Source organism: Homo sapiens, chromosome 2 (genome assembly GCF_000001405.40).
Source record: "Homo sapiens chromosome 2, GRCh38.p14 Primary Assembly".
Classification (NCBI taxonomy): Eukaryota; Metazoa; Chordata; class Mammalia; order Primates; family Hominidae; genus Homo; species Homo sapiens.
The window spans coordinates 16,045,318-16,067,095 of NC_000002.12; the positions used below are offsets into that span (position 1 = coordinate 16,045,318).

At 44.5% G+C, this 21,778-nt stretch overlaps 1 long non-coding RNA gene across 1 annotated transcript in view, besides 2 other annotated features; it reads left to right on the forward strand.

Annotated features, from left to right (window-relative positions):
- Nucleotides 1-5,109: 5,109 nt before the first annotated feature.
- Nucleotides 5,110-21,778, forward strand: part of GACAT3 (gastric cancer associated transcript 3) — a 35,263-nt gene continuing 18,594 nt past the window's right edge. The window contains exon 1 of the long non-coding RNA NR_126559.1: nt 5,110-5,360. This is a non-coding gene — a long non-coding RNA (gastric cancer associated transcript 3). The remainder of the gene's footprint in view (nt 5,361-21,778) is intronic.
- Nucleotides 10,674-10,753: an enhancer, noted in NCBI's record as "active region_15348". NCBI's record gives its function as "activates an Ori minimal core promoter by ATAC-STARR-seq in GM12878 lymphoblastoid cells {active_cell/tissue: GM12878}" and the evidence as "EXISTENCE:reporter gene assay evidence [ECO:0000049][PMID:35858748]".
- Nucleotides 12,323-12,823: an enhancer, noted in NCBI's record as "H3K4me1 hESC enhancer chr2:16197762-16198262 (GRCh37/hg19 assembly coordinates)". NCBI's record gives its function as "activates a minimal SCP1, AML or CMV promoter by ChIP-STARR-seq in naive H9 embryonic stem cells {active_cell/tissue: H9 hESC(naive)}" and the evidence as "EXISTENCE:reporter gene assay evidence [ECO:0000049][PMID:30033119]".

Consider the following 21,778-nt stretch of genomic DNA (forward strand, 5'->3'; position numbering starts at 1 on the left):
TCCATTTTCTATATGCTTCTATTGGTATTTTTAGATTTATTAATGCCAGGCATTGTGCATATTGACTGCAGGTGCGCTTCTGGTGGATTACATGTGTTACTGATTCTTTTTGTTTTTTGAGACAGAGTCTTGTTCTGTCACCCAGGCTGGAGTGTGGTGGTACAATCATGGCTCACTGCAGCCTTGACCTCTTGGACACAAGTGATCCTCCTGCCTCAGCCTCTGGAATAGTTGGGACCACAGGTGCACACCACCATGAAGGGCTAAGTTTTTTATTTTTTAAATTTTTTGAAGAGACGGGTTTTGCTATGTTGCCCAGGCTGATGTCAAACTCCTAGTCTTGAGCAATCCTCCCACCTTGGCCTCCTAAAGTGTTGGAATTACAGGCATGTGCCACTGTGCCTGGCTGTATTACAGATTCCTGATGGAGCACCAGAATACAGAGTGAGATATTACAGAACTAGAATCCAGGAAAGAATAGTTAACCATCACACGACTTGAGTAGACTTGAGGAGTTCAATCTGTCATAACTATTCCCCTCAATTTCTCTCTTTCTATTCTCCCCATAATGCTCACTTTACAATTTGAAGTTAAATTGATAGTATTTACATTTTTACTATGAAAATATTGTTCACTGAAGAAACAAGTACTGTATGAGTACCTCCCTTTTTAAATAGAATATTTTTGTTTCTTTTGGAGCTAATAATTTTTTCATTTTTTTCTCTTTTGACTTGAATAGTACTACGTACATATTTTTCTGTTTAATTGAGCTTGTTAATCATTTTCTTTTGCCAGTGCTTATATAAAGCAGATAATCTGCCAGTTGCATTTTCCCACCTGTAAAACTCCCTCCCGTAGCGCTCCATCTTCTGCTCCGGTTCTGAATGACTGTTTTTTGAGCCTAATATGCAGCTGTCATCCTGGGATGTGGTAGACTGCTTGTTAAACATATTCACTGCACCTTCTTGCATGGGGATTATATTTCTGTGTCCCATTGATACCTGGCTTTGTCACGTAATTTGCTTTGGCCAATGAAATGTAAGTAGAAGTGTAAGTAGTGTGTATCACTCTGGAGAAGGAACTTTAGAACCAGGAAATGGTTTATCATGGTCTCTTTTATTTTCTGCCATGACAGTTGTCAATGTTTCAGATAGAGAATGCTAAGTCAAGTCAGATCTGGGGTAAAGAGGACATGGAGCAGAGCTATAGCCAACCCACAATGGACATGTAACAAGAAGAGAGCCTCTGTAGTTGTATGCTACAGCCTGAACTGGCCTATCTTGTTTAGGCCACACAATTGATGATTGTAGCCTTCCTGCTTTGGCAGTTGCTGTGTTCTGAATGTTTGTGTCCCTCCATAACTTGTATGTTGAAATCTAATTCCCAATACAATGGGGTTAAGAAGTGGGGCCCTTAGCAGGTGATTAGATCATGAGGGCAGAACTCTCAGGAATGGGATTAGTGCCCTTATAAAAGGTCCAAAGGAGCTAGTTTGTCCCTTTCACCATGTAAGTATACATAGAAGGCACCATCTATGAGCAATGGGACCTTACCACCCATTGAGTCTGTTGGTACCTTGATCTTGGACTTCTCAGCCTCCAGAACTGTGAGCAACAAATTTCTATTGTTTATAACTTACCAGTCTAAGGCATTTTGTTATCGCGGCCCTAACATACTAGGACAGCTGGTCTGTTCCTAGCTTGCTTGCTTGCTTATTGTTTAATCTATTGTTTTGATGGAGCATAACCTATTCCAGCTTCCTAAGAAATGGTGCACAGAACATAAAACTTGTGAGTTCTTGCTTAACTAAAATTTCCTTTCTTCTATCTTCACATTATTTGGCTAGTTTGGTTGGGTATAGTGGTCTATGTTAAAATTACTTTTAGAATTTTGAAGATGTGGCTTCTTTGTTTTCTAATATTCTGTGTTGCTGTTGAGAAGTCTGATGCCATTTTGATCCAATCCTTGGAAGAAAATTTTAATTTTTTTCCATAGAGGCTTTAAATTTTTTCCTTATCCCAATGAGTTGAAATTTTACTCTGATATAACTTTCTATGGCTGTTTTCTCATCATTTTTTTTCCTGTATACTTTCAATCCTGGAACTCGTGTTCTTTCCTTCTAGAAAATTTTTTCAAAAATAATGATTATGTCTTTGATAATTTCTCCTCTCTGTTTTATCTTTCTGTAATTAGCATTAGTCAGATGTTAGATATTCTGGATTGATCCTGACATTTCAACTTTTCTTTCCTATGTTCCAACTCTGTTATTTTAAAAAAAAAGGATATTTGAAGATTCCTTATTTTCTGGTCTTTCTATTAAGTTTTCTATTTTAGCTGTGTTGTCTAATTCATAGGAATTTACAAGAGAATACAGAGGAGATGACTTTGGGAATTTAATTTATGACGTTTAGATTTAAAATTTGCATAAACCTTGAAATTGCTGATGTTGGTGTCTTCCACTTCGCAATACCACCCCGCAGTTCACAGATGAGAATGATAATTTCCAGAAAAGAAAATGACTTAAAGTAATAGCACGTCCTCCTAATTCTAGGTCAGCTTCTTTCCACCCCCAATGTTGTGCCTTTTCGTCTTACTGTAGCTGAAACTTTATTTCAATTCTAATAAAGGACACTTTTAAAATTAGCTTCTGAATGGAAGGAAGCAATGAAGATTGGTTAGGGCATCATTGAAAAGCAGGCACTTGGCCGGGTGTGGTGGCTTACGCCTGTAATCCCAGCACTTTGGGAGGCCGAGGTGAGCGGATCACAAGGTCAGGAGATCAAGACCGTCCTGGCCAACATTGTGAAACCCTGTCTCTACTAAAATACAAAAAATTAGCTGGGCATGGTGGTGGGCACCTGTAGTCCCAGCTACTTGGGAGGCTGAGGCAGGGGAATTGCTTGAACCTGGGAGGTGGAGGTGCAGTGAGCCAAGATCGCACCACTGCACTCCAGCCTGGTGACAGAACAAGACTCCATCTCAAAAAAAAAAAAAAAAAAAAAAGAAAAAAGAAAAGCAGGCACTTATGTGGTGGTGAGCTAGCATCACTTGGGGCTGAGATGAAAATCCAATGCCTCTCTGGCTCTGACTCACACGGAATCTGTCGAGTTGTTTCATTTTTTTAGACATTGGTTTCTTCATCTACAAATTGAGGAGGTGGGAGTAGGTCTTTGCTCTTCAAACTCTTGAGGTTCCATGGGGTGCCTAGGGCCTTAAGGGCTTGGGGAGGGGGCGGAATGAGGGAAAGGGAGGTAGGGCTCTGGGTCCTTGCTCAGCTTCACCTGAACAGTTCCACTTAGTCCCGTTTTATGTATTTGGTTTTCATGTAGGCTTTTGTTGCTAAAAAAGGTTTTGTGACTAAATGTTTGGGAATCACTTCACCAACCTTCTGTAGGTTTTCTTTTGGCATTGTACTTTTCCGGTACTCTGATTAGAGATGTTCTTTTAGGCTCTCAACTTTGACTGGCTGAAACTTATAAGCCATCAAGCTCTCTGGCGTTCCTATAAATTAGGATGCATGTGGAGGTAATTACCATTCTGGAATTCTAAGCCCTGGAATCCTGGTCAATTCTTTTTTTATTATTTTATTTATTTTATTTATTTACTTTTCTGAGACAGGGTCTGGCTCTGTAACCAAGGCTGGAGTGTAGTGGCATGATCTCTGCTCACTGCAACCTCTGCCTCCTGGGCTCAAGCGATCCTCCTACCTCAGCCTCCTGAGTAGTTGGGACTACAGGTACATGCCACCACGCCTGGCTAATTTTTGTATTTTTTTGTAGAGATGGGCATTTTGCCATGTTGCCCAGGCTGGTCTTGAACTACTGAGCTAAAGTGATCTGCCCACCTCAGCCTCCCAAAGTGCTGGGATTATGAATACTAGTCAATTCTTAAACTGTCTTTCAAATCAATAGTCTCACTGCAGACACTGTCACTCAATACATATTATCAATGCCAACACAATGGGAAACTGGATCCTGCCATTTTCTTGATTAGATAGTAGAGACAGGCTGGATCCTGCCATTTTCCTGATTAGATAGTAGAGACAGGCTAAAGTAGAGTCTTAGCTGTCATTCTGCTGTCGGGGTCCTGCTTCCCTCCACGGAGAATCAAAGTCTGGATGTCAGACTTTGTTCCCTTGGCTGAGGAGAGGGACAGAAGAGACCAGCTTGTAGTCCCTTGCCCTTGGGAAGGAAACTGGTTTTCTGCTCTGTTCAACCATGTTTACTAATCATTAAAGGAAACAATAGATGTAGGCCAAATGCTGGTATCAGATGAGAGGGTTGAGAGTGAGCAGATCAGTGTCGGAGCCTGGGATTAAGGAAGTCAAGGTCAGCAGTGGATCCCTCGGAGGCCCAGAGAAATGGCTTGGTTAGGGCACGTCTGCTACCTGGGGTGGGGGAGGCAGAGATTCGCTTCAAGATGAATCGCATTCGCCTTAGAATTAGAATGCCCTTCCTAGAAAGCCCTTAGAGATTATGTGATTAAACCTCCTTATCTTACACATGGAAAAACTAAAACCTATAGAAGGGACACCTCTTGCCTGTGGTCACCCACAATTAATGTTTTATTCCTCCCAGTCCACACTTGTGCAGTCCTCACATATCTCTGAACAGGGACTGGGTACTTAAATTAGGTAACTGGCAAGGAGGTTTTTTTGAGAAGGGAAGGTGAGGGAATTTTTCGACCTTGTGCCATTGCTTGAGAGGCAGAAGCCAACACACCATTAGTTAAACCCAGACCAAATTCATCAGCTTGTGAGACTCTAGACCCCACACCTGTCTAAGGACTGCAAAGAGCAGTCAGTGTACATAAGAATTCCCTCCTGCCTCCTGTGATTCTCAGCCCTCACCAGCCTGGGCCCATTGGTAAATTTATCTTGAGTTAAAAATACTGCTTCTACCACCAGCACACGCCAAATAGAGTCCTTGAGACACCTATGCACTGAAGCACCTACACGGTGTTTAGCACTGATACGGTACTCTGCCCTTTCTGAGCCTGGTAGTCTGGCTGTCTGATAGGAGCAGGGAACCCACAGATATCATCTACTTCCGTAAAATTCGTTCAATTAATGAGCATCCACCGGGAGAAGAAGGATCATTTTCAGCCTCCCTGACCACAGGCTTTGGTTTCAGGACAATGCAGACTGGGCAGCAGATCAAATAAAGCCATCACCAGCGCATAGGACAGTCTCAAGGGGGTTAACTGTCCCTGTCCTCTACAATTGTTGCTGGGGAGCAATTTGCCCTTGAATCTTCCATACTGTCCCTAAATTGACAATTTCATTTCCTTCCAATCCCGCCCCCTGCCCTGAAGATCTGCTGAGGCTGCGAGTTCCATGTGAGAAGGCAGGAGGATAATAGGTGAGTTCCATCCATCCGTCAGCCATAATGGTCGCGGACACTCCACGCCTTTTGTCTGCTGGTTTCCCTGAGGATGCAGGCTAGGGACCTGGGGTATTTACACTGCCTTTATGTGTGTGGTTTTTAAATCAGCCCTCTTGTTTACTTCCCAGCCTTTACCCAGGCTGTTTACTACCTTTGGAGGGGCCAGGCCACTAAGTCAACATGCATTAAGACCCAACATCAAAATGTCATAATGCGAATGAGCAGAATTCTGAAAGGCCAGGGACATTGGCTGCTCTGTTGGGTCCTGTTTAGTCTGAGGGTAATGAAGAGCTCACAGATGACCTGATTTCATTAAACTAGGTCAGACTCAGCTGAAAAGCGGCTATGACTCTCACCCAGTTATATAGCCAGCTCTTCCTCTCTCCCTGCCTCCCTCCGCCCCCACCCCCACCTCGGGGCTTGAATGCTTTCTGGGAATTAACGCTGAGTTTTGTCAATACAGTAGCTAAATCTCCATGGAATAATTGGACCTTTCCCTTCGGCTTCTGTTTGCGCAGTGGCAAGGCCAGGCATGGGAGAGAAGCGGGTGGACTTTAACGCAGCATGTATGATTCAGTTGTAGCAGTTTGCTTTTGAGCCAGACATTCTGAGTTACAGCATCTTATCTGAGGGCTGTATTGACGGAAGCAGCTGAACTGACTCAAAGAGGAGTTATCATGCAAACAAGGCTTTCAATGTGTCCAGGCTCACCAGCAACACACGGGCCCTCTGCATCTTCAGAAGCCTCCTGGTGGGGAGTAGGAAAGGGACCAGGCAGAGGGTGGAGGCAGGAAGGAGTGGTGTCTGAAGGCTGCTGAGGGAGGAGAGGTGGTCCTCCCCCGTCCCTCCTTGCCAGGGAAAGACTGAGTCTGTGGTGGGCATTCCAGGCAGGCAGAATTCACTTCATCCATACAGAAGAAAGCATTTCTAACAATTAAAACTGTCTGAAGATTGGATGGGCTGTCAGATGAGCTCACTTATACTTTATTAAGCACCTACTATGTCTCAGACTTTATGCTGGGGACCTTGCTCTGAGCTCTGCAACATCTCAGTTCATAAGAGATGAGGAAACCAAGGTTTAGAAGTAAGTGACTTATGTAAGGTACCAAAACTAATATGAGGCAGACACAGGATTTGAACCCAGATCTTTCTATGTCCATGCTCCTTCCACTGTCCCCTCTGCCCCCACCTCTTGTTCAGGGCACATGGGGGATGGCTTATTTTTGCTCCATGATGTCTGAGGCCTTAGCTATGAGACTCAAAGTTTGGGGACTGAGATCACTGAAGGCTTGCTGCGTCACATGCCTGGTGGTGAATGCTGGCTGTTGGCTGGGGGTCTCGGTTCCTCTCCACATGGACTTCAGTGTGTGGACTCTCCATGTGGGTTGCTTGGGCTTCCTCACAGCATGGTGGCTGGGTTCCAAGGGTGAGCGTCCCAAGACAGAACATAAAGTTGGAACACTTTTTCAGTCTATGCTTGAAAGTCACACAGTGTCACTTCTGCACATTGGTATTAGATAGAATTCATTAGAAGCAAGTCACTAAACCTGCCTCATGTTCCAAGGGGAGGGAAATTAAACTCAATCTTTTTTTTGTTTGTTTTTACGATAATACCTTTAAACAATTTTTCTGATTATAAAAGTAATGCATGAGTAAGGCAAAAACTCCAAACATTGTAATGTAGAGCGTATGACACCCTTATGCTAAATTCCCAAATGAAAGAATCATCAATATGTGTCGTTTTCTTGTTGCTTTTTGTATATTACTATTGCTTTTTGAATATTACTATTTGTATTAGGGTTCTCTAGAGGGACAGAACTAATAGGATTGAAGTATATATGAAGAGGAGTTTATTAAATAGTGTTGACTCACACGATCACAAGGTGAAGTCCCACAATAGGCCATCTGGAAGCTGAGGAACAAGGAAGCCAGTCTGAGTCCCAAAACCTCAAAATTAGGGAAGCCGACAGTGCAACCTTCAGTCTGTGGCGAAGGCCTGAGAGACCCTGGCAAACCACTGGTGTAAAGTCCAAGAGTCCAAAAGCTGAAGAACTTGGAGTCTGATGTTCAAGGGCAGGAAGCATCCAGCACAGGAGAAAGATGAAGGCCAGAAGACTCAGCAAGTCTGCTCTTTCCATCTTCTCCTGCCTGTTTATTCTAGCTGCGCTGGCAGCTGATTAGATGGTGCCCACCCAGATCGAGGGTGGGACTGCCTCTCCCAGTCCACTGACTGAAATGTTAATCTCCTTTGGTAACACAGACACACCCAGGAACAATACTTTGCATCCTTCAATCCAATCAAGTTGACACTCAATATTAACCATCAAACTATTCTAAGTAGTCGTATGACATGATTAAAGTGGTATTTTGGAAAGATCACTTTGGTGGCAGCAGTAATTAGAGGGAGAGAAACTGAAGTCCAGGAGACTACCTAGGGGTTAGCATCATTATTTAACAAATGTATGAATACCTTCAATGTTGGCTTCTCATAGTCAAGTCTGAAGATAATAGGGGACTGCTTTAGGGGAACAGAAAAAATTAAAGAGGAATGGATGAATTCAAGAGACACTTTCAAGGAAGATTCATTAGGGTTAGTGACTGGATTGTGATTGGGGCAAAGGAGAAAGAGGAGCAAAAGGTGCCTGGGGATTTCAAGTGTGAGTTTTTGGGAGAATCACCCATTATCAGCTCGAGGCAAGTCAGGGATGGAAGCTCAGTTTTGGGGAGAGAGATGAATGGGATGTATTTGGACTGAGCTGTCAGAAATCACTATGTTTAGGAGCTAAGCAGAGAAGCCACTCAAAGCAATAGGCAAAGAACAGCCAGGTTTGGGAAGACAGAAGCAAGAGCATGCAGGCCCAGAGCAGAGGGGAAGAGATTCAGAGAGGGTGGCTACGGTGCCAGGTGCCGTAGACATCTCAGAGAGAGTAAGGCTTGGGAAAGGTGATGGGCATATAGAGCGAGCAGTCATGGTTGACTGAGCATCCTTGATGCCAGTGAAATGGCAGAGGCAGAATCCAGATTATAAAGGCAATAAAGAATATTAACAGCCCTAAACTCAATCTTTTGATGAGAGGAGTGGCAAGGTTCTAGAAACACACATGGAACCAGAAGTATTGCTGAGGGCTTTTTGGGAAAATACAACCTAAAACAATATTCAAAATCCTTAAGCTCGTGTTCTAATATGTAAGAGGCTGAAAGACTACCTCCTAGGGTTGTAGGCTTAAGCCACAGGTTTCCCAGACTTTTTGGATCATGGTGCTCCTAGGCCAAAAAAATATGTAACTGTTCTGTTTAAGTGTTTATATATATATATATATATATATAGTATCTCCTAATGAATTAGTAGGTATTTGAAATAATACTGATAAATGGAAAGAAAAAGTACTGTCTTTATTTCTTTCACAAATAACTACAACTCACAGGATATGTGAGCCAGTTGGGCCCTATGCACCTTCTCAGATCTTGGAATCTGATGGGCCACTACCACCTTCACCGCCCGTTCCACATTGGTTTTCACACTGCACGTGCCTGTTATCCCTGCAACCACCTCAAACTCAGCTTTGCAAGGATATGATGTCCTTGAAAGGGATGCAGCACAATCTAATGCTGAAACGGTGAGCAGCCTGGAGCTCAGAGCTGTATGTTGCCCTGTGGGTGTTGGGTATGGCTTCTACATTTAAAATACTCTTCAGGTTGGGCATAGTGGCTCATGCCTGTAATCCCAGCACTTTGGGAGTCTGAGGTGAGTGGATCACCTGAGATCGGGAGTTCAAGACCAGCCTGGCCAACATGGTGAACCCCATCTCTACTAAAAATACAAAATTAGCTGGGCATGGTGGTCCATGCCTGTATCCCGGCTACTTGGGAGGCTGAGGCAGGAGAATCGCTTGAACCCAGGAGGTAGGGGTTGCAGTGGGCTGAGATCGCACCACTGCACTCCAGCCTGGGCAACAAGGACGAAACTCTGTCTCAACAAAACAAAACAAAATGGAAAAAAAACCAGCTCTTTAGTGCTCTTGTGAGTTTGCTGTGGGCCTCAGGGTACCTCATCACACAGTTTGAGAAGTGTGGGTTTAAACATAGTAGATCCAGAATGAGGGACTATTTAATGTGCCAAAGTGATAGTTTCCTAACACATACCAAACTTCCTAACAAGGTTATTCAGATTTCACATGTCTAGGATATATTGAACTTGGATAATTCAGAGTCGAGGGCAGTGAAGGTGATTTGTCCAAATTGATGAATTTTTAGGAACTGCCTTGGCTTTCATATATAACAGGTAAGAGACAACAATCTCCTCCCCTTATCTCAGGGAAGGTGAGCTATGAGTTATATACTGTCTTTAAGAAATTGACAATTGCCCTGAAAAATGTCACACATAGAGACTGAGGGAAAGATAGGAGGGGAAATGCGATGCATATATAGGTTGAGAAAATTGCCCAAGCCATGTAACATGGGTAGAAAAAAACAGAGCAATGTTTCATTCCCAGCTTACCTCAAGAACCTTCCCACTATCGCTGGGCATGGTGGCTCACGCCTGTAATCCCAACACATAGGGAGGTAGACGCAGGTGGATCACCTGAGGTCAAGAGTTCGAGACCAGCCTGGCCAACATGGTGAAACCCCGTCTCTACTAAAAATACAAAAATTAGCTGGGCATGGTGGCGCATACCTGTGATCCCAGCTACTTGGGAGGCTAAGGCAGGAGAATCACTTGAACCCGGGAGGTGGAGGTTGCAGTGAGCCGAGATTGCACCATTGCACTCCAGCCCGGGTGACAGAGTAAGACTCTGTCTCAAAAAAAAAAAAAACAAAAACCTTCCTAGTATCCTAGAGTGCTACCCAATATAAGATGAAATTTTACATGAACTGGAAACAATTAGGATAAACCCACCCAACCTCCACAGCAAAGTAGTTTCTGCAACTCCCAAAGTTAAATGAACCTAGAACATTGACATATTTTCCAAAGCAATTTCTTATTTAGCTCAGAACTTTATATGTGACCTCAATAAGGTCATTTTATGGCTCTTAGTTTCTTTAAATAGAACACCAAAGTTGTAAAAAGGCGCATTTTTTCTCTAAGGTTACTTAGCAAATTGCAAATGAAAGAGGAAATATACATGCGACTAGAGAGTTCATCACCTTACTGCACTAGAAAATATGGCCCAATTTCTCTCTCTCTTTCTTGTTCATAATTCTCAGACAAGACAATAGGAGTCATGTGATGTGACTGAGAAATTGGGCCAGTTAAAAATAGAAGGTGCACTTCACCAAGTTTGTTAGAAAGTGGAAGTTTCATTGCTGATTGCTGTTCATTTATCTCTGCCTGCCACATCTGTGAGGGAGTGGGGCAAGAGACAATTGCAGATTCTGAGGGCTGGAGCCCCCACACCCCCCTCTTTCTATTTCCTGGCCCGGCTAAACAGCAATGCCCAGGAGCTCAACTGAGCCCCGTGCACTCTCTCTCTTGGTCCTCAGGGAACTCTCTTCTCTGGTTGGCAGCAGTTTTAGTTGGGAGAAAGCTCTAGCTGGCTCCTCGTTCCTCCCAATGGGAGTGCTCAACGTCAGCTTTTCTAAATGGGAAATGAAGGTCTCCAGCCTCACGTATGCAACATAGTGTCTGTACTTTTGCCCTTGCAGAGTTCTGAAAGTCTTCACAAGCCTTGCCTGCATAGCAGCTGGCAGGTGGGAGAGGAGAGAGGCCACACTGAGACCTGCCAGTTTCATAAATGGAACTGAGTCCTCCCCTCACCAGCTCAGAGTGAGCACCCACCATGGGTCCAGCAATGCCTGGGGCCCCAGATCTAGAAAGCACGATGATATACACTTGCAGGCCTTGCAGGGTTCCCAGGACAGAGGGTCCGAGGAAGGCCAGGCCAGGCCCAGAACTCCCAGACCTGATTCCCTCTGATGGTGGTCAATATTCTTCACATTAGGGTTTGCAAATTGTTTCATTTAACCAGGTATTCTCGCCTCCTCCCCACTTTTTTTTTTCCACTTTCAATTTTTATTTTAGAATCAGGTGGTACATGTGCAGATTTGTTGCAAAGGTATATTGTGTGAGGCTGAAGTTTGGAGTACAAATGAATCCGTCACTCTGGTAGTTTTTTTGTTTTTTTGAGATGGAGTCTTGCTCTGTCACCCAGGCTGGAGTGCAGTGGCGCGATCTCGGCTCACTGCAAGCTCCGCCTCCCGGGTTCACGCCATTCTCCTGCCTCAGCCTCCCGAGTAGCTGGGACTACAGGGGCCCGCCACCATACCCGGCTAATTTTTTGTATTTTTAGTAGAGATGGGGTTTCACCACTTTAGCCAGGATGGTCTCGATCTCCTGACCTCGTGATCCGCCCGCCTCGGCCTCCCAAAGTGCTGGGATTGCAGGCGTGAGCCGCCGCGCCCGGCCTCTAGTAGTTTTTTTTTCAACCCTTGCCGTCCTCCCTCCCTCTCACCCCTTGTATCCTCCAGTGTCTATTGTTCCTATTTTTACGTCCATGTGTACTCAATGTTTAGCTCCCACTTATAAGTGAGAATATGGGGTACTTGGTTTTCTGTTCCTGTATTAATTCTCTTAGGATAATGGCCTCCAGCTGTATCCATATTGCTGCAAAGGACATGATTTCATTCCTTTTTACAGATGCATACTATTCCATGGTGTATGTGTATCACATTTTCTTTATCCAATTTGCCATTGATGGGCACCTGGGTTGATGCCATGTCTTTGCTGTTGTCTCATCCTTGTTTTACAGATAAACAAGGCCCTGAGAGGAGAAGTGGTCAGACTGCACTAGGACCCTTTCCTGTCAGGGTGGGTGATCTGTCCTTTGTACCAGATGCCTTCCTTCGATGGTATAGGAAGAGGGTGTGTGTCCTAAGCCTGGGCTCCCCCTGCAGAGAGTGCTGAGTTTGGGATGGGCAGGCACATTTGGGCCAGGCTTTTCTCCCTGACGTTATCACAGAAGCCATGGTTCTGCTTATACCCTATGATTCCCTCTGAGTTGAGGCCAGCTGAACAGCAGACACAGAAGCCAGCAGACGGAGGTTCGGTCTCAGCTTTGCTGCTGATGACGGTGGCGTTGCTGGAGCCTGGCTTCCTCATCCCCCACCTTCCAAGTTTATACTTTGAGACAACCTGCCCGAGGAAGTGCCGGGGGTCACCGAGCTGTACTGTTTTCCCTTGGTTTCTGCCTCACCCTGTCTAGCCCATTTGTTGGAAGCATGAGGGATGAAGCTCCCGTTCTATGTGCAGCAGGTGGGCCAGGCCCTGACCTTTGAATGCTCATCCTACAGGTGCGTGGGTAGATAGACCACCCCAGCTGGCCAGGCAGGCCCCCGGAGGGCCAAGCCACTCAGCCTGCCTCACAGTCAGGTAAGCCTGGCTCCTTCCTTAGCATGAGTGGCGAGTGGCAGAGGGCCCCAGTGTCTCACCTCCTCATTTTTCCCTTTTGGGAGAGAATGCACAGGTTCCCCCAATGGCCACCAAGTAGGGGGCAGCCTCTCATTTTGCCTCTAGTTTACCCTAAGCTGAGGGGCCTCATGCCATGTGACCTGTGCACACGGGGTGCCCCAGCAGTGTAGACTGCATGGCCCATGGTGCTGACTTGAGCTGTGGTGGAAGAAGCCCAAACCACAAATCAACTCACAAAGAGCTGATTCTTCACTGCTGTCCAGGGCTGTGGCATTGGGGAGCCCGCCCAGCAGGTGCAGCAGTTTGTCCCGAGAGCAGCTGGCCCCACTTGCTCTCCAGGTGGACTTTCAAGCCTCAACTCTTGCAAAATGGCTTGTCAATGGGACACGCCCACTGGGTCCCCACCTGGTGTTCTTTTGGACAATTAATCTTAGGGCAGCTGGCGAAGGAGCCTTGGAGAGCAGGAGCATGGGGTGGGGTGAGGTGAGGGTGGGAGGAGAGTGTTAGAATCGCTCATTTGAGAGGTTTTTTTGTTTTGTTCTGTTTTGTTTGACATGGAGTTTCGCTCTTGTTGCCCAGGCTGGAGTGCAATGGTGCGATCTTGGCTCACTACAACCTCTGCCTCCTGGGTTCAAGCGATTCTCCTGCCTCAGTCTCCCTAGTAGCTGGGATTACAGGCAGATGCCAAGATGCCTGGCTAATTTTTGTATTTTTAGTAGAAACAGGGTTTCACCGTGTTGGTCAGGCTGGTTTCAAACTCCTCACCTCAGGCAATCTGCCTGCCTTGGCCTTCCAAAATGCTGGGATTACAGGCATGAGCCATGGCGCCCAGCCCATTTGAGGGATTTTAAGATATGTATGTCTGCACCAGCCCCTTCCACTGCCTGAAAATGAAGCTAGGCCAGGTTACTATTAGAATATCTAAGAAGGGTGATGTTCTACAGAGTATTTTTTACCTTCTAAGTTAGAAACAGAAAACAGAGTCTTGAGGACATCACTAGGAGACTGGTAGCTTTCTCTTGGTTTTGCTTTTGCTGCTCTTTCTAGGTTCTCCTCATTTGGCCCATTTCTAAAATACAGGATCCTGCTGCTGAATGACTCCCCTGGGAAGTGATGATCTCCATCCTCTTCCTCCTCTTGCTCCCCCTCTTCCCTCCTCCTCTTCCCTAGACCTCAGCTAAAAATTCAACGCTATGCCAGGGTAAGAGAGGATCTTTGTGTTTTATAGTTGAGGAAACTGAGGCCCAGAGTGGGGAAAGAGGCAAGAGACCTCTTGGGCATTCTAGGTGTGTACTGATAGATCCAAAATGAATTTGTAGAAATTGAGTTTTGGCATAGAAAGAAATAAGCATTTTCTGAGTCACAGCATCCTTATTCAGGAGGCAATGTCCTTGGTGCTATCCTGGTCCAGTTATGGTACATGGAGCCTGTACCATGTGAGGGATGTGGTGTGTGACTTATCTCCCAGGTTGGTCTTCCGTAAAATGGGGGTATTCGCTTGTCTACGTCACAGGACTCTCCCCAGTGGTAAGTGAGCTGGTGTATGGAAAAGGGCTATGATTGGACCTGGTGCATTAAGACACACCATTCATTCATTTCCAAAGGGTAGCAGACATGGTAGTTAGGATGTGGGTTCTGGAGCTACACCATCTGGGTTCTGATCCTAGCTCTGCACTTTATTAGCTGTGTGACCTTAGGTGAGTTATTTTACCTCTCTGGTCCTCAAATGTCTTGTCTATAAAATGAGGATAATAATCGCATCACCTCAGAGGGTCAATATGAGGATCAAATAAGTAAACCACCAAGAACAGTGCCTGGCACATAAGTTCTCAATAAATGTTAGCTGCTATGATAAACATTATTATGGACAAACCATGAGTGTTATTATTATAATTGTTGTTCCATCTTCCAGAGTCTCAGGGGCTGTAAGTGATGATGAAGGCAGATTCCTAAAGAAAGTTAGGATTGATGAAAAATCCCCCCAGCTCACCATTAATGGGGATGTCCAGGGAGATACTGAACAATTATTTTTTCTGAGATGTTAACAAGAGGACTCTTGCATGAAAGGATAACTTAGACCTAATTTCCCCTTCAAAGACTCTGTGTTTCAAAAATAACACTGAATTTTTCGGGTACTTAAACAAATGGGTAAGGGGCTGGGCACAGTGGCTCATGCCTATAATCCCAATGCTTGGGGCCAGGAGTTTGAGACCAGCTTGGGCAACATAGCAAGACCCTCATCTCTACAAAAAGTTAAAAAAAGAATTAACTGGGCATGGTGTTATGTGCCTGTAGTCCTAGCTACTCAGGAGGCTGGGGTGTGAGGATCACTTGAGCCTAGGAATTTGAGGTTACTGTGAGCTATGATTGTATCACTGCACTCCAGCCTAGGCTATAGCGTGAGACCCTAGCTCTAATATATATATATAATAAAAAGGGCAAGAAGGCATTGCATCTTCTTTTAAAGAAGTTGATCTTTATCTTCTCCCACTTGGTCATTCAATGCTTTCAGAATACCTTCTATGTGACAGACACTATATAGGCACTTGGGACCAGAGTTAGATGAGATGCAACTTTTGCCCTCAAGAGAGACAGACATACAAGCCTATGTTTTTAGGATATGATATTGGGTACAACGAACCTATCAGGTGCAGTGTGGGCAAAGGGGGTTCTGTGACTACTTCTGGGGAATTCTGACTGAGAAGTCTTCCAAGAAAGAAAACCACTAGTCCTGGGTTCCAAAAGAGAAGTGGGAGTGCCTCAGGCAGGTAAGAGGAGAAGGACATTCCCAGAGGAGGAAACACCATCTTCTCTCTTCCTCCCTGATGGCATTGTAAGACTGAGACCATGATGGCAGTTTAAGTGCTTTGCAAAATAGCAGATGAGAAGGGTTATCGACAAGCCAACAAGTGTGCCTCTGACTTTGCAAGAAGCTGCTGGCCCTGGTTTTGGGAGCAACCAGCATGTCTGAGGTCTGCTGTTAATGATCTCAAAGCTGAGGGTTTATGCCTAATATCAGACATCCCCTCCCTGAGGGGATACCAGTCAAGATGATCCCTGTGTTTCTGAAATGTAGAGGAAATAAGCCTCATTTCCATCTTTACCTCGTTTTTTATAAATGTCAAGAAAGGCCCAACATTGCTCACATCCCCACCGCCAACTCAGGTCCATTCAAATCAAAAGAGGAGATCAAATCCCCCACCTTGAAAACCTTCTGGAATCCAATAGCCTCTGCCCTCCTTGCATCATTGCATCCATCCCCACATCACAGTCAAGTCAGGTGTGAGTTTCAGTTAACCTGGGACAAGGTATTGAAGGCTGAGTGCCTGCCAATTACCTCCATAGAGGCAGAGCCCAGGACCAGAGAAAAGAAACAGCCATCATGTCAGGCATGTGTGATTATAGGAGAAAGGAGGAATTCAGGTGGGAGAATTATGGGGAGGGGAGGAGAAAGCAGAGCCTTAGGGATTATGTGTCCCAATGGCCTTTGTAGGAGGCTGGCTGATCCTGCTTCCTCTGATCTGGTGACCACAGGAGCTGTGCCAGCAAGGCTCAGGACCACAGATGGCTCCAGCCTGGTGCAGTAGAAAAAGCAGAGTATTTGAAATCACCAAGACCTGAGCTACAGTCACAGCAGGGGCTCTAGTCAGCTGCATGACTGTTCACAGATGACTTATATAAATCTTAATTTCTTTACTGGTAAAATGAGGCTAATAAAATTTACCTCCAAAGGTAGTGGGGATTAAACAATATAATGAAAGTAAAGATGCAGGCACAGTATTGGCTACAGAGACATAGCAGGTGGTAATCAGTAGTTGTTCAGGCATCAAGGGACAGACATTTATTGAACACCTAGCAAGAGTCTTACCTGTTGAACTGACTGCCCCTGATCATCATTGTCCAAACTTATGTCATTCACTCACTTGATAAACATTTATTGAGATAAACTATATGTCAAGCACTGAAATATGCTCTGAGGCTGCAGACTTGTAGATAATAGGTGTCTTTGTGGAGCTCACACACTATATCCATGAAGATTCTTTTTGCAGCCTCGTCTATAAAATTGAAACGTTGGAAATAACCTGGAGGCCCAACAATAAGGGAATAGTAAAGTAGACGATGGCTTGTCCACTCAAAGGAGTATTCATGTATGGCAACAATGACAATTGCTTATCATATATTAACTGAAATAAGCAGGAAAAGAAATTCTAAGTACAATTAAGCTTTGTTATTCACAATAGTTATGTTTTATAAGTTTATTAGTCTGTTCTTACATTACTAACAAAGACATACCTGAGACTAAGTAACTTATAAAGGAAAGAGGTTTAATTGACTCACAGTTCTGCAGGGCTGGGAATGCCTCAGGAAACTTACAATCATGGCAGAGGGAGAAGCAAACACATCCTTCTTCACATGGCAGCAGGAAGGAGAAGAATGAGTGCCCAGCAAAGGGGGAAGCCCCTTATAAAAACATCAGCTCTTGTGAGAACTAACTCACTATCACAAGAACAAGATGGGGGAAACTGCCCCTATGATTTAATTATCTCCACCTGGTCCCTCCCAGGACATGTGGGGATTATGGGAACTATAATTAAGGTGAGATTGGGTGGGGAAACAGCCAAACCCTATCATTTTGCCCCTGGTCCCTCCCAAATATCTTGTCCTCATGATTCAAAACACAATTATCCCCTTCCAACCATCCCCCAAAGCTTACCTCATTCCAGCATTAACTCAAAAGTCCAAGCCCAAAGTCTCATCTGGGCCCTTCTTCCTGTGAGCCTGTAAAATCAAAAGCAAGTTAGTTACTTACTAGATACAACGGGAGTACAGGCATTGGATAAATACACCCATTTCAAGTGGGAGAAATTGGCCCAAACAAAGGAGTTACAGGCCCCTTGCAAGTATGAAATCCAATAGTGCAGTCATTAAACCTAAAGTTCCAAAATGATCTCCTGGATGTCTCACATCCAGGTTATGCTGATGCAAGGGGTGAGCTCCCATGGCTTTGGGCAGCTCTGCCCCTGTGGCTTTGCAGGGTACATCCCCCCTCCCAGCTGCTTTCATGGGCTGGTGTTCAGTGCCTGTGGCTTTTTCAGGAGCATAGTGAAAGTTGTTGGTGGATCTACCATTCTGGGGTCTGGAGGACTGTAGCTGTCTTCTCACAGCTCCACTAGGCAGTTGCTCTAATGGGGACTCTGTGGGGGCTATGACCCCACATTTTCCTTCTGCACTGCCCTACTAGCAGACGTTCTACATGAGGGCTCCGCCCCTGCAACAAACTTCTGCCCAGACATGAAAGGCAGTTCCATGCATCTTCTGAAATCTAGGTGGAGGTTCTGAAACCTCCATTCTTGACTTCTGTGTACCCACAGGCTCTACACCACATGTAAGCTACCAATGCTTGGGGCCTGCACCCTCTGAGTCAATGGCCTGTGCTGTATGTTGGCTCTTTTAGCCATGGCTGGAGCTGAAGCAGCTGGGACTTAGGGCATCATGTCCCGAGGCTGCATAGAGCAATGGGGCCCTGGGCCTAGCCCAGAAAACCATTTTTTCCTCCTAGGCCTCCAGGCTTGTGATGGGAGGGGCTGCAGTGAAGATCTCTGACATGCCCTGGAGACATTTTCCGCATTGTCTTAGTGATTAACATTTGGCTTCTCATTACTTATGCAAATTTCTGCAGCCAGCTTGAATTTCTCCCCAGAAAATGGATTTTTCTTTTCTGTCACATCATCAGGCTGCAAATTTTCCAAACTTCTATGCTCTGCTTCTTGAACACTTTTCCACTTAGAAATTTCTTCTGCCACATAGTCTAAATTCAAGTTCAAAGTTCCACAGATCTCTAGGGCAGGGGCAAAATGCAGCCAGTCCCTTTGCATAGCAAAAGTGACCTTTACTCCAGTTCCCAACAAGTTCCTCATCTCCGTCTGAGACCACCTCAGCCTGGACGTCATTGTTCATATCACTATCAGCATTTTGGTCAAAGCCATTCAAGTCTCTAGGAAGTTCTAAACTTTCCTGCATCTTCCTGTCTTCTGAGCCCTCCAAGTCTCTAGAGAGTTCCAGACTTTCCCACATTTTCCTGTCTTCTGAGCCCTCCAAATTGTTCCAACTTCAGCCCGTTATCCACATTTTTAGGTATCTTTACAGCAGTGCCCCATTCTGAGTACCAATTTACTGTATTAGTCTGTTTTCATTCTGCTAATAAAGGCATACCCTAGACTGGGTAATTTATAAAGAAAAGAGGTTTAATTGACTTACAGTTCTGCAGGGCTGGGGAGGCCTCAAGAAATGTACAATTATGGCAGAAGGGGAAGCAAACATGTTCTTCTTCACATGTCAGCAGGAAGGAGAAGAATGAGTGCCCAGTGAAGGAGGAAGCCCCTTATTAAACCATCAGATCTCATGAGAACTAACACACTATCACGAGAACAGGATGGGATAAACTGCACCCATGATTCAATTATCTCCACCTTGTCCCTCCCACAACACATGGGGATTATGGGACCTACAATTCAAGATGAGATTCAGTGGGGACACAGCCAAACCATATCGCCATGAACACTGAATTAGTGAATGCTGAACCATTGCCTCCAGGAGGAACACAGAGTCCTGAGAGCCTCTGGTTATAATGTTTTGTTAGTTGATTAATTCATGACTTTATTTTATGCAGGCTTCTATCCAAAGACAGAATCTTGTTGATTCACTAAAATGAAACTCATGGCCAATAGCCCTTGAAGTCATGTTGAAATGAAGCTCATCTAACACATATTCTCTCTGTAAGGCACATCCCAGCCTCCTTGCACTCAGAAACACTAGACAACACTTCAGCACTATGCTTAGGAGCCATTTAAAACAGACAGATTTCCAAAAGAAAGCACAAAAATGCAAAAAACGTGGGCACTAAATAGTCTGTGAAAGGGATGCTCATTTACAGTATGTGAGCTGAAACAAGGAGGCAGAACTTGTCCTGTTCAAACTCTGCTGGGAACATATGTGTGGAACTACTCAAAATTTCCGCCACTTTGTGCATGTCTGTGGACGACCAAGAAGTGCCACAAGTATTGATTTTGGAGTTACAAATACATTTTAGCAAGTAGGTGAATTCACAAGTATGGAATCCACAGATAGTGAGGGTGTACATGTGGATAAAGCTTGGAAACGTTGTAGAAGAAAATTAAAACGTTGGTCACAGGATTACTATTGATGCTTCTCTGTTTTAAAATTTTCATTAATGTCAAATTTTTTCCTTTGTTTAACAATAAATAACACTTTAGGGAAAACAAACAAAGCCTCCATCTGGCTCTTACACCCTCCTTCTCTGCCACCTTGTTCTCATGACATGGGCTTAGAAATGGAGGCGATGAAGCTTCAGGGTTAGGGGTTCCCAGCCTGGGCTCCTCCATGCCAAGGCTTCTGGAATGATCATTGACAGTTAAACATTTTGCCCCAAGGTAGCTAAAATCATGCCTTAGGCTGGGCGCAGTGGCTCACACCTATAATCCTAGCACTTTGGGAGGCTGAGACAGGCAGATTGCCTGAGCTCAGGAGTTTGAGACCAGCCTGGGCAACATGTTGAAACCCTGTCTCTACTAAAATACAAAAAATTAGCTGGATGTGGTGGTGTGCACCTGTAGTCCCAGCTACTCAGAAGGCTGAGGCAGGAGAATTGCTTGAACTTAAGAGGCAGAAGTTGCAGTCAGCCAAGATTGTGCCACTGCACTCCAGCCTGGGAAACAGAGAGAGACTTCATCTAAAAAAAAAAAAAAAAAAGCCTTTACTCAGCCTCACCGGGGCACAAAGCACTGACCAGTTTTTCTCTGGTTGTAATCATGTCCTCACCATGTGGCAGCTCCAGTGACCTCAACTCCATCAGAAGCTTTCATGCAATTTCCTGTGTTTTGATGACAGAAAATTTGGAAAACAAGTTAGTGTAGTTTGTTTAATAGAGTCTCCCCAAAACTGGGCTCTTTGGAGAAAAGATTTTTTTTTTAAAGGAGTGCTTGTGATGGAAATATTAAGAGCTGTTGCTCTAAATTATGTGAAAGGCACCCCTTTGGGTTCCTTTTCAAAGGTATTTGGCAGGAAAGCAGCTCAGCCATTGACGGGACCTAGATGCCCTATTGGATCATTCTATGGGGCTATTTGAAGAAGATATAGAAACTTCTTCATCAATACTTGCCGAAGCTAGGAGTATTGTCCTAATTTCTAACTATGGGGACAGGAAATTCCAGGCCACAAAGGTTGCTCACATTTTTACCTGATTTGCCTCCAGATTTGAAGTTATGTGAATGGCTTGTTTGTCTAACTCAGCTCTGCTCAAATCAATCTTTCACGGGTCCCCCCAGTAAAGATCACCTTGGGTCAAAGGTTATAGGTCATCATGGTTCTTAAATACCTACCCACTTTGTAGGAGTTCCAAAGTGGACAATTACTCAGAAATTAGGAATAAAAGCATATATTTCAAAAGACTAATTGGGAAAAATGGGTATGGCATGTGCAGTAATGTTTCAAATGTTGTCTTTATGGCTATCCCAATTAATTTCCAGTGTTTCTCCAACCTGACTTTTAAAAAGATAGAATACAATAGAAAGCAACCTGCTATTGATGTGCAGAGTTGCCTGTGTCACATCTGCTGTACAATGACTTGACCATTAGGATATTCATCCTTTTTATGTGCCTGGGTGCGCTCATGCCAGCACATTCTTAAATGTATGTGAGTCCAGACACATACATGCAAAGTTGTGATCAAAAGATTTCCCTAAAGTAATTAATTCAGGGCTACTGCTGAGAAACAAGGCAAAACTTGGAGGGGCTTTCCAAAAATATCATAGTTTTGCCGTTCAGTAGTGCTGACTTCTTGTGGTGCAAATCTATTAATTTTGATGTAATAAAAAAAGTGTTCATAGAAACAAGCAAGAAATAAATAGGGACATTAAGATTATATGGAAAGGTGGAAACTGGAAGGTGAGCTAAGAATTGTCCAGATGAC